This window comes from Homo sapiens, chromosome 5 (assembly GCF_000001405.40).
Source record: "Homo sapiens chromosome 5, GRCh38.p14 Primary Assembly".
Lineage (NCBI taxonomy): Eukaryota > Metazoa > Chordata > Mammalia > Primates > Hominidae > Homo > Homo sapiens.
This window is the reverse complement of record NC_000005.10, coordinates 127,230,613-127,243,971: the sequence shown is the minus strand read 5'-3', so window position 1 is coordinate 127,243,971 and position 13,359 is coordinate 127,230,613. Positions and strand designations below refer to the sequence as shown.

The window sequence follows — 13,359 nt, the reverse complement described above, 5'->3', positions numbered from 1 at the left end:
GCCTGCCTCCACCTCCCAAACCGCTGAGATTACAGGCATGAGCCACCATGCCCAGCAGAAGAATGCTTTATAGTTACTCTTCTCTTCATTTTCAAGACATATTTTTGGTCTCTAGATTTTGACTGGTGATTTTTCTCTTATCTTTACAGTTGAAGAATTTGTTTTTCCAGCATGAACAGCCAAAATGTGAACAGTGGCTTATTAGTGACCCCCTCATTTACTACCACCTCTAGCATTTCCAACTAAAACTCCTGAGCTTCATCGATATAGGTAAAAAGTTTCTGATGATGATACACAAATGACCTTTTTATAACCCTTTTACATGTTTTGGATTATTTCTTTCTAGAATAGGAAAGAGGAAGTCATCAGATGTAATCAGGATACCATCTTTGTTACAAAAGATTCCATTTATTTTTTCTAGACTGTGATGAAAGAAACTTTGTATTTGTTTCTCACGTAAGAAAAATAAATTTTTTAAGAAAGAAAAATTGGACATACTCAACTTCCTTCCTTACAGAGAAATAGGAAAGTTATTTAAATTTCAACATTCTTATGAAGAGAGCTTTTTTGGGAGGGATAAATTTTTTACTTACTTTCCCCTACTAAAAACATTTTGAAATACATTCCTTGAAACCATCTTTAATAGTCCTGAATTTACTATGAACTTCTGTGTCCAACTGCCCAAACAAGGACAGGGAAATATGCCCATGAAATTTAACCTCTGCTGAAAACAACCACGAGGTAGAAAAAACAATGGAAACATCTGTATTTTATCCTGACAATATGTTCTCTCTTATTCTGGAAGCACAGGATGTCTTTACTCTGTCAGCTGCAAAAATATTATCTCTCTGCAGGAATGAAACAAGTGTGGAATATATATTATGCTACCACATTACATGCATACCTAAGCAGAAAACAAAGAAAATAGCCATTTAATATATAACTCAGTTTTGCCTCCAGGGACAGATAAAAATTTTTATTATAATACCTAAATGGTACAGTCCATAAACATACATGGGAAATGTGATAGGGCGAAGTCAGGCTCTTTTGGCTAGATACTTGTGGCTAAAAATTTATCATCTGACCCTCATCCTAATCTTTCCTTCAAATAGACATAAAGTAGGCTATATTTTTTGTGAGGTCCAGGAATCTGGGGGCAACGGAGATCAAAACCCATCACCATTTTTCAGCAAACAATTCATTTTTAAATGTCTGTGGAAAATAACTATTGGCTGATATCTTTCAGTTCCATTTCAAACGTTTTACCTTATGCAGTTTACCTAATAAACAATCAAGTTACTAAAAAAAAATAAAAAACAGTAACTAAGTTGATAATTTAATAACTTCAGATGATTCTAAAGGCTTAGTTGTGTTTACCCTTTTTGAAATCAATAACTTTTCATTTGGAATTTTAAATCCACTTTAATGAGCATTCTGCTAGCAGCAGTTTAATTTAAGATCCGAACTTATACAAACAAAAGTAATAGAGGATTTTACCTACATTACAATTTATACTTACCTTTTGCAGACCACATCACTGATTTGAATGTATAAATCCCTGCAATTTCATTATATATACCTCTTAAAATTTTTTAATGCTTTTAACCAGAGAAGGGGTTATATAGGAAGAGTATTCCCAATGTAAGAAGTCTTAATGTTGCTCAGATATTTGCAACATGACTGACATGGTTCTTCTAGTACTGGTGCTATCTTTGCAAGCTTTTACAGAGCAACGACATGACTTCCTTATAGGCAGTAAATGAGAAACATCCTATGATAATGCCACTGGCTTTCTACATAAGCTGCCTGTTGTATGTCTTATCAAACTGAAGCATTTGTCAACACACAAACCTTGTTTCTTTGTATCTTCACATTCATTCACTGATTTCATAATGACAGTGTGTTCTGCATTGTTCCCCTCCCTGTACGTAACCTTTTGGGGTCATGTAATCTATCCCTATAAAACTAAGTGGAAGCATCTCCCATAAACAAGGAGCTATATCTACTGTTTCTAAAATCCACTCTCTGGCACCATACCATAGGGACCCAAGCAGCTCTGGAGTCTCCAGAGGGTGCTCAAGAGGGAAATTATAGCCTTTGGGCTCCTCAGTGCCTCCCTGTGAGATGCTGTGCTGTCTTGCACTGTTGCTTCCTGGAAGCATTTTATAGCTATCACACCCTAATGTACCAAAACTGTACAATCCCCTCAAAATTTATGAAATTCTTCATAAAAAGTGATTATTTCACTCTCTGTTATAGCTCTACTTTCCACAGAAGCTCAAAAAGGTAATTTTTAATGGCTAAAACCACAATTACTTTTGCACCAAACTAATAGTCCTTGAACCATGGTGGAACACATAGCACCAAGTAATGCCTCCCCATTTTGCCCCTCTCCCAGCAGTCTTATAACAAATCCTCTCTTTAAGCCCCCCACCAAAAAATCATATCACATAAATTGACACCCAGGCACAATCCAAACCCCAGTTTAGGCTCAGCTGGAGCCTTTCACCCCATCTGTAAATATCCAAAATTCACCCTATATCAATGAATAACTTACTGTGTTGCTTCATGAACATTCCTTTGTTACCTATAAGAAGAGAGCTTACCTGAGAATGACAGTAGCAAAGGGCAAAGCAAGCCAGGAGATGAAGAGACACCCCTGTCAACCTCATCTGAGTCCCTGAAACCAACCTCCACCTTTGCTTTCCACAGTTATATGTGGCAGTAAATTCCCTTTGTTGCTTAAGTTAATTTGAGTTTGGTTATATGTCACTTGCAACTGAAATAATCTTGACAAATACACTAATAATTATCAAATTTTATTGGGTTATATAAATATCAGTGCCTCGGGAACTTGAAACAACAAATCCCAGAGATGTGCAACCATAAACACTATATAGCCTGATGAGTGATTTAATTAAATATGTACATATAGATCATTGCCCAAGCCACATATATAAAAACAAGGAGAGATAAATCTGAAGGAGAAGAAAAAATCTTTTGCATTTTGACACAACTTATTAAGCAGAAGACATCTGCCCAATGTCTAGGTCTGGAAAGATAAATTATTCCATTTTATGTTGTTATTAAATTGTATTATTCTTCATTAAAGTTAAATGCATTTGGAGGAATTAAGCTTATCAAAAATTTGGCAGTGTAATATAAGTGATGATTCTTTGTTTATTTGACAACATCCTCCTGTGAGTTGATTCACAATTTTAATTTTAGAAAACAATATTTCCTTCATAGGGGCTGACAGAATGATGTGAACTGCTGCATCATTTTGCATGAAGTCATATTGATTGTGAAAGGAAACAGAAGCCAAGTGACTTAACCAATTTTTCAAGGAGCATTATGACAATAATGTTTCCATATTGTCAGAGGGGATCACATCAATTTAAGAACTAAAATTCAGCTTCAGGAGACAATCACCTGTCCTTTTGAAGATAAGTACAAAGGAATTCTATGAAGATAAAAATTCTAAATAATGTTAGTGAAAAAAATAGTTAAAAATGTATGAAATTATGTGTCGATATCAAGCACCTTCTATGGATACAATGATGAGCAAAACAGAGACATCAGAGAGCTTTCAACCTAGAGGAAGGCATCAGCCAATCACAGAGAATTATAATTCCAACTAGGATGTTACCAGAGAAATGGACCTGCTACCAGGCCCATGCTGGGGCTTCATGCTAAGCAAATAGACCAGGGAAGGATTTCATAAAGAAGTGATATTGAACTGATATTTAAAGAATGAATAAGCCCTGACTTGATAAAGAGGGAAAACAGCATTCTGGTCTGAGGGACAAGCCTCTACATAGGTGTAGGGAAGACTGGGGCAAGAATAAGAGACCTAAAACTGCCCTGAGGCCAGAACCCAGGGAAAGGAGCCTGTGAGTGAGGAGTTTCCTCCTAAAATACTCGATAGACTTTGAATGGTTTCAGGCAGGGCTTGTGTGATCAGTTTTGCATTTTAAAAAACATCACCTTGGCTTCAGGCTGGATAATAAATGGGGGATGGGGTCAGGGTCCAGGCAAGGGAAAATAGTAGCTGGGGCTGGGTAGAAGTAAGGATGAGGGTAAGACACAGGTAGAGAAGTCATCTGTCATGGCAGCTTATCCTCATCAAACATTTATTGAGAGTCAGCAGCAGGAAATCTGACTAAATCATTCCTTTTTAAAAACTCTTTATTGGGCAAAAATCTCAAACATCTCAAAGAGTAGACAGAATAATCTAATGAACCCCTATATGCTCAACCCTAAGCGCCAACAACAATCAATGCTGGCCTAATCTTGCCTGATCTATATTCCCAATCTTTCTCTACTCCCAGATATATTTTTAAATTATGAACATTTCAAACCTTCAGAAAAGTCATGAGAGTACTACAACAATCATCCATTTAACATTCATTTAGATCCATTGTTAACATTTTGTTAACTTTATATATATATAAAGTATATACATGTAAAACTGTGTGTGTGTGTGTATATATATTATATATATATATATTTTATATATAATATATATATATACTGTGTTTATTCTCTCTCTCCCGTGTGTGTGTGTGTGTGTGTGTGTGTGTGTGTGTGTGTGTCTTCCATCATCTATCCCCTAAGAGCAAAGGCATTCTCTTATACAACCAGCATATAATTATTGCTCAGGAACTTTAACATTATCTAATTTACAGTCCAAATTCAAAATTTCCCATGTGTTCCAATAACATCCTGTATAGCTGTTTTTTCCCCCCGATCCAGGATCCAAATAATGCTAATGCATTTATTTTGTTATCCTGTCTCTTTAGTCTCCATCAATCTCAAGCGTTCCTCAGCGTTTGTGTCTTTCATGACATTGATGCCTGTGAAGGGTCCTGGCCAGCGGCTTTGCAGGATGTCCTTTAATGTGTGTTTGTCTGATTGTTTACTCATGATTAGATTGAGGTGAAACATTTTGGCAGTACTATCGCATAGGTGATGTTTGTCCTTCTCAATATATCACCTCAGGAGCCACATGATGTCAGTTGTACCATTACTGATGATGATTCTTTCACTTTTCTAACCTATTGAGTTCATATCCTATAGACATAATCCATTACTGTGGAAACCAGACAAGGACTGCAAAATATAATTTCTATTTCCTCATGAGCCATCTTAATACCAAGAGACATTTACACAGATCATTTATACAGACAAAACTTTATTGGTTGTATTCACAAAAGGTGGTTATAGATCATAAATAGACACGGATGGGGGATGAATATCCTACAGCAATTAGAAGATATTAGTAAGTTTGGGAATTAGAATCTGGAGAAGAAGTGAAGTGTGGAGGTGAAGCACATCACCTCAGGAGCCAGACCGCCCTGCCACTTCCCACCCGTGTGACTTTGGGCAAGTTACTTAACCTTTCTCTGTCCACATCTGTAACATGGGATGTCACAGAACTCTTCCTATATGGCTGGTGTCAACACTGGGTTGCTACATGTGCAGTGCCTGGCAACCACAAGCTGTCAATGAGATGATGATGATGATGGTAATGTTTCCAGAGAAGGACCACTAACCTCCATGTGTTGACTAAAGGAAGACCTTGGTTTTTTTTAATATATAAAAAATATTGTCTGAGGCCAGGCATGGTGGCTCACACCTGTAATCCCAGAAATTTGGGAACCTGAGGTGGGTAGACCACTTGAGTTCAGGAGTTCGAGACCAGCCTGGACAACATGGCAAAGCCCCGTCTCTACTAAAAATACAGAAATTAGCTGGGTGTGGTGGTGCATGTCTGTAGTCCCAGCTACTTGGGAGGCTGAGGCAGGAGAATTGCTTGAACCCTGGAGGTGGAGGTTGCAGTGAGCCAAGATTGCACCACTGCACTCCAGCTTGAGTGACAGAGCAAGACTCCATCTCAGTATATACATATATATATATATATATATATATATATATATATAGTCTGAAGTTTATACCCTGTTAAAAACATAATATGGTAAAATGTCAACACATTTGTATAAAATCATCAACATCATTTAATGAGAACTACATAGGGTAAAAGAGTTTGATTTTAACAGTTAGATGACTAGCATTAACATTTCCCAAATATTCAGTAGAAGACACCATAGGGTAGAAACATCTAGATGACAGAAATAGAGGAAGGGAGCAGGGAGAAGCAAGGGAAGGGCAAAGAGGTGGAGGGAGAGGGAAAGTCCCACATCCCTGGCCCTGAGTCCTCAAATCTCACCCTGCCCAGGACTTAAAATTACTGCCCTTTCTACCACTCACAGGCTTGCTTACCTAAACAGTCCCGTCTGGGCTTCTTCCTGCTGTAGGATTTAAAAATCCAGGCTTTCATTATTGTCTCCCCAACTCAGCCTACCTACCCATACCCAAAACAAAACACACATAGCATGTTTTCTTTTTCTTCTTCTTCTCTTATTTTTCAATGAAGTCCCACCATTTATCAAAGTTAAATAACTTTTTTTTATTTTTTTGGAGACAGAGTCTAGCTCTGTTGCCCAGGCTGGAGTGCAGTGGTGTGATCTCAGCTTACTCTAACATCTGCCTCCTGGGTTCAAGTGATTCTCCTGCCTCAGCCTCCCAAGTAGCTGGGATTATAGGCACCCACCACCACGCCCAGCTAGTTTTGTATTTTTCGTATAGACAGGGTTTCACTGTGTTGGCCAGGCTGGTCTTGAACTCGTGACCTCGTGATCTACCCACCTTGGCCTCCCAGTGCTGGGATTACAATCATGAGCCACCACGCCTGGCCGAAGTTAAATAACTTCTACAACAGGCGTGAATTTTACAGTCCCAAAACCCAGATGTGCAAACATAAAACCCCCTTTTTTTTTAAAAACTGACTTAGATCACAAGACCCACTTCCACAAATGGAAAAATATCTTACTGCCAATTCAAGGAAAACGCAGACATTTCTGGGATTTCTTTCTTAGTTTCTTTGGGTAAATAGGAAGTCAATATGGAATTCATACTCTCTCTTATTTCCTTCTGTTCTCTCCATCACTCCCTAAATCTGGGGGCAACAGGTACAGCAGCTTGAGCTGCAGAAAAGAAAGAAAGGATTCTCTCAGTTCTCTCAAGGAGACTGTCTAGAACAGCAGACTGTTCTAATCTTGATTACAAATAATCAAGTAAATGCCCAATTGTAATATAGGTAAGTTTCCCAAAAATGTTTTGGGAGTACAGAGCAAGTATAAAGAAGCATAAACTCAGTTCAAAGGGCCAGAGAAGCTTCCAAGAGGAGGCAGTTTTTAAATTTTATCTTAAAGAGTGAGATGGAGACAGTAAGTTTAAGAAGACAGGGAAGGATATCTCAGAAAGCATTTGCTAAGGCATGGAATAGTGGGAGAGGGTGACGTCCTTGGGAAATAGAAGTAGTTCTGTCCAGCTGGAGCACAGGGCATGCTCAGAATACTGGGTAGGAGATGAGTCTAGAGAGATGAACACACTGTACATCAAGCCAAAGGATTTGGAGTGTCTTCTCTAGACCAGGGCTTGGCAAACTGTACATGGAGTCCAAATATAGCCTGGTTTTGTAAACAAAGTTGTACTGAACACAGCCATACTCATTTGTTTACATACTGTCTTCAGCTGCCTTCATGCTTCAACATCAGAGTTCAATAGTTATGGCAGAGTGTATATGGCCACCAAAGCCTAGTATATTTACTATCCAGCTCTTTACCTTAAAAGTTTGCTAGCTGGGCCTGGTGGCTCACGCCTGTAATCCCAGCACTTTGGGAGGCTGAGGTGGGCAGATCATAAGGTCAAGAGATGGAGACCATCCTGGCCAACATGGTGAAACCCCATCTCTACTAAAAATACAAAAATTAGCTGGGCATGGTGGCGCGTGCCTGTAGTCCCAGCTACTTGGGAGGCTGAGGCAAGAGAATCACTTGAACCCTGGAGGCAGAGGTTGGAGTGAGCCGAGATCGCACCCCTGTACTCCAGCCTGGTGACAGAGCGAGACTCTGTCTCAAAAAAAAAAAAAGTTTGCCGACCCTGGGCTAACCCACTTCAGTAATATATGCACCCTCTTTAAAAGGATAAATTATCCTAGAGCCAAAACTCCACTTAAATATTGTTAGTATATTGTTATTTAGATATAAAATTAAGTGCAAGCATCTTATGCTTATAGCTCTTTTGCAACTATAAAAATGTGTATAAACTAACAAAAACAATACAATTCAAATTAATTTATTAATTCAATGTGAATGATGACATCACTTGTATGGAGACAGATTTCCATGCAGGAGACAGATTTGGTGCAGGTACCAAAATCAATTGTCAGTACTCAGCTCCAAGGAAGCCATTGAGGTGATCCACAATTGTTCATGTTTTAAAATATCATCCAAATGAAAACACGATAATATAAAAATTACCGCAGAGAGCTGCAGATTCTGGATGACATGCAGTTACTGAAGAAATCTAACAGACAGCTATTCATATGGCAACAAATAGCTAAAAACAACTAGTCCAAACTAGGTAAACCTAAGGGGTAGCAATGGATTAGAGAGAAGAGGACACATTTGAGAATATTCAGTACACTATCTGGACAAAACGTTAAACATCAAATGGTCGTAGGGAGGAAGAAACATAAGGGAAGATTCAGGAATGACTCACAGGTTTCTGGCGTGGGCATGTGTGCTCACCGAGGTGAATAAACACAAAGGAGGTAAAAGCTTGGGAGAGAAAGACACTAAGATCCCTTGGGTATTTGAATTTAAGGCATCTGTGAAACTAGTTCTTATTCTGAATAAAGTTGGATGTATAGGACAATGCAGTTATAAGCAATAACTGGCTCATAAAGATATGCAAGTTGGAGGCCAGGCACGGTGGCTCACACCTGTAATCCCAGCACTTTGGGAGGCCAAGGCGGGTGGATTGCCTGAGGTGAGATGTTCGCAACCAGTCTGGCCAACATGGTAAAACCCTATCTCTACTAAAAATACAAAAAAATTAGCTGGGCATGGTGGCATGCGCCTGTAATCCCAGCTACTCGGCAGGCTGAGGCAGGGGAATTGCTTGAACCAGGGAGGTGGAGGTTGCAGTGAGCCGAGATTGTGCCACTGCACTCCAGCCTGGGTGACAGAGTGGGACTCCATCTCAAAAAAAGAAAAAAAAAAAGATATGGAAGTTGGAAATAAGTTGTTATTGAACTACCAATATAGATGAGATGATAGCCCACATAGAAAAGTAAAAAGTGAGAGAAGAAGAAAGCACTAAAAGACACTTAACAAAGAACTGGCCATTATAGGGAGCTTTCTAAATAACGACATTTATGAATCCCTAAATATAATCAATTCAGTATGATCTATGTGAATGGAGGGAAATTATAATATGCATAATATGAGATACCAATACAAAAGTTATTTCTTTTTGGTGGATTCATTTTGGTGGATGCATAGAGGAGAGATGCATTGATAGAAGATTTATTTATGTTCGCTAAAATTTGGTTTGCTCTCCCAGGAGGCACATTAACTTGGATAAAAGGACAAAATGGTACAGAATGTGGCAGTCACTGTTAGTTGTCTATTCAATATCCATTTCTTCTTTACAAACCAACCTGAATTTTTCTCAGTGGCAATGTGCCTAGCTGAAAACTTTATTTCCCCACCCACTCTGCACCTATGAATGGCCATGGAACACAGTTCTGGCCAATGAAATACAAGTGAAAGTCAAAGGATGAAACTTCTGTGGAAGCTCTTTAAAAGGCACATAGACTCAAGTGACTGGATGCTTTGTGCATACCTTCTTCCTTCCTAGATACATCGTGTTGGAGGTGGAGCCACAGTATTGTGACCACCAGGCCCCAAAAGCATGGTAAGGATTACTGAGCGTAAATACAGGAGGATCCTGGGGGCTTCACAAATCCTCAGTATGAGCCCTGACTCTGCTTCCAGATGTAAATAAGAATAATTGGATCCCTAATTTTTTAAGTCACTTTTTTTCTGGGTTTCTGTTACTTGAGGCCTAGTGAATTTCTCCCTACGCAGAAGGCCTATTTGAAAATGGTCTCAGCTAAAAAATCCCCACAGATAGCTTTCAAAGTTAATGTAATGTCCAGGAATAAATGAAAAGTTGATTCCCACCTAGATGCAACAGGAAACCTCTCAACCCTATTACTAGGGCCACCTGCTTCAGCCTTGATTAAACGAAGTGAAGGAAAAAAGGAAGTGGGCAGCCCAGAGTTAAGCTGGCCATGACAAATGAGCTCCCGGTAAGACTGTATACTCCAAATCTCCAATTTCTAGCATCCTCTACTGTGCTTTCTTTTTGCTTTTCATCTTTCTTTCCATTCTTAATCTAATGGGAAAAAAAGTGAATAATAAAGTATGAATACTATTATTCATTAACCTTAAGTGCCTTCTCACTGTCCACCCAGTTAAGCATATGAAGGATGATTTATTGAACTATTAATTTGTGCTTTTTATTGCCAGTGTTTTCGTCTCCTATTCCAAGCAAGTAGCCAGGCTAATTGCCGCCTTACTTCAGGGAAGTCTGTGGCAGAAGCTTGAAAGCAAATGACCTACTACACCTGCTTGTGTCCTGGTCTTCAAGAGCTTGGGTTCCTGAAGTGGATTATGCTGGAGGAACACAGGTAGAAGCAGAAGTAACAAAGGAGAGAAGGAGACTGCCCTACTGCCCTATACCAGGAAGGTGTGGTGGTTTCCACAATCATCAAGGGGCCTGTGTCCTACTTCTAGCAGAACCTGGGGAAGAAGACAAGGATTCTGCGGAGCCTAACTGTGTGGTGAAGCTAGGGAGGCTGTACCCTTGGCAACAGGGCTTCCATTGTGAAGAAAGATGCCTGCAGGCCAAGAAGAGCAGAGAAACAGAGTCACTGCCATTCAACAGTTCATGACAACTTCAACAATAGGGCCACCATAATGAGCCAAAAATTAGGAGCAATTCTCCTGTGTTTTAAGGAACCACAAAGTCTCTGAGAGACTGAAGAAGAGAGAACACCCAAATGACAAATTAAATTTACCTCCAGCAAGGTGGGATTAAGGCTCACAGAAATATCCAGCACACTCTCCTCACATCTACTGGGGTCCAAGGCCTCAACAGCACAGTCTCCTCAACCTGCTGCTCCAGACATTTCGCTTTTCTTCCTCTGCTTGAATCCTACAATCGCAATGCTTTCCTGCCTCTGTGTTTGCTTGGAATTTTTTGTCCTTTGGCAATTTAATGCTTGTATTCATCCATTTAATAATAAGTGCCCATCTTTTCTATCTTCAAATACTTGCCCTTCATAAGGTTCTCCCTGACCCCTCTGAAAAGCCATAATTTCCTCCTTTACATCTCCAAGTTTTGTACTTCTCTTGGGACATTTACCCTGTACTACTTTTTGTTATCATTTCACATCTGCTCCTCCCAACATCTTAAACATTTATTGAACATCTACTAAGCATCCTAAAGACAGTGACTGTTTCCCAAGTACCTAGCATAACACCATATGCCATTGACCTTAGGACACTAAACTGAACAGAGCACAGAGCCTGTCCTCAAAGTTCTCAAAGTCTATGTATCATGCTCAGGGATCACAGGATTGTATGTAGTAACTTCTCAGCCTTTGTTGATCTTGATTGTCAGCACTTTAAAGCTCCATTCAGCTACTTATGTAAAATTTAAGCAAAATGAGGAAGATAATTTCGTTGGAGAGAAAGCTTCTGGATGCTTCAGAATATGCCACCTCACCTGAATGGTAACCATTACACTTGTAAATAAGATAAAATAGCAAGAAAAATATAAACATATGCTTTGATTATTTCCTTTTTGAAAATCAATAAGATCATTTTTATTTTCAAAGAAAATGTGCAAATAAAAATATTGTTACCACTTATTTGAAATCCATGAAAAATGCTGAGGTGAAGGAACTGTTGTCCAAAAACTGCTTTCTCTTCCCGGGCTTACTTCCTTTGCCTTCATTGTTTTCTGCTGCCACTCCTGCTTTGGAATTTGCTGTTATGTGTAATAAACTCCATCACAGTGTCTGTGGATAAATCAAGAAATATTCACTGGAGATCTTGTCACAGGCCACAGTCCAGACTTAATCCCTGCTCTCCCTTCCCACGCTTCTCAGTCTGTTTAGGCTCTCTCTCTTCTTCCACATTCTCCATTCTCCTGATTCTACTAGCCTTTGGAGGCGACCTTTCTGTTTTCCGTCTCCCAAGTATGTCACACACCTATATCATACTGGGCTAATGAAGGAAGGGGCACTGGCCTAGAATCAAGAAGCCTAAGCTCATTTGGTCATTTATTCAATCAACAAATATTTTTGAGTATTTTCTATGTATCAGGCCTTGGTCTAAGCCTTGGAAAGTGGTAATGAACAACATAGTGAAATCCCCAGCTTACATTCTAGTGGATAAAGTATACAGATTATCAAGAAGATTATAGATGGTGATAAACACTATGAAGAAAATAAAGGGGTTGATGTGATAGAGTAATTTTACAGGGTCACTTGGAGTGCAGCTGTCAGGGAAGGCTTTTCTGCCATTTAAGCAGAGACCTGATGGATGGGAAGGTGCTAACCAGATTCCAAGAAAGAGTGTTTCCGGCATCACATCCCTAATATGCCCAAGACACAGGAAGGAGGCCATGTGGCAACAGCAGGGAGCAGGAAGAAGAGAGGGACCCTAGCAAGATCAGCAGAAAAGGATGAGCTCATGGAGGATCTAGCAGCCATGCTGAGGAGTTTCGATTTTAATCTAAGAGTATGAGATTTATTTGATGTGCTTTAAGCAGAGGAATGAAACCATTTCATTTTTGTAAACATCACGATGACTACAGGGTGAAGAGTGGAATTAGAAATATCAATTAGGAGACTACTGCATAAACTCAGGAGAGAGAAGGGGGAGGATTCAGTTCTTTAGAGCTGAAGCTTATAGGACTTACAAATGGATCCCGTGTAAGAGGTAGTGGGGAGTCACCAAGATAGTGTCCAGATTTGGGCTAAAAGGCTTGGGTGGATGGTGGGTGCCCTTCACTGACACAGGACAGCATTCCAAGCCTGCCTTGCCCAACTCTGGGCAATTTTGCCTCTTCAACTTTGAAATAAAGGCGTTGAAAGGGACTGAATAAGTGGCACTAAAATACCACAGTTCTATTGGGTTATTAGGACACAAATATGTTTTTCTTGCTTCCCATTAAGAAAATAACACAAGATTTAAAATGACAGAGGCTGACATTCAAATCAAAGATCCACAAACCTACGTGGTATTGGCAAACAGATTCCACGTGCCTCAGTCTCCCCATCTGCAAAATGGAATCACAAAACAGGCCTGCCTCACTGTGCTGCTGGGAGGGATACATAATATATGTAAGGAGCCTGGAATATAACCGTTCTTGGTC

General features: G+C 39.6%; 1 protein-coding gene and 1 long non-coding RNA gene across 3 annotated transcripts in view; one reads left to right on the top strand and one right to left on the bottom strand.

Moving 5' to 3' along the window:
- MEGF10 (multiple EGF like domains 10) overlaps positions 1-13,359 on the bottom strand; it is a 231,923-nt gene that overhangs the window by 217,251 nt on the left and 1,313 nt on the right. Inside the window, exon 2 of one of the 2 annotated variants that reach the window (XM_017009987.2) lies at positions 11,843-11,998. In XM_017009987.2, the coding sequence (XP_016865476.1) occupies positions 11,843-11,934 (92 nt within the window). In that variant the 5' untranslated portion in view covers positions 11,935-11,998. Of the gene's footprint in view, positions 1-11,842; positions 11,999-13,359 lie in introns of those variants that run through there. The other variant, XM_011543694.1, reaches the window with a different exon arrangement.
- LOC124901057 (uncharacterized) lies at positions 8,192-11,848 on the top strand. The gene is made up of 3 exons (XR_007058923.1): positions 8,192-9,825; positions 10,132-10,222; positions 10,443-11,848. It is a non-coding gene; the product is annotated as an uncharacterized LOC124901057 (long non-coding RNA).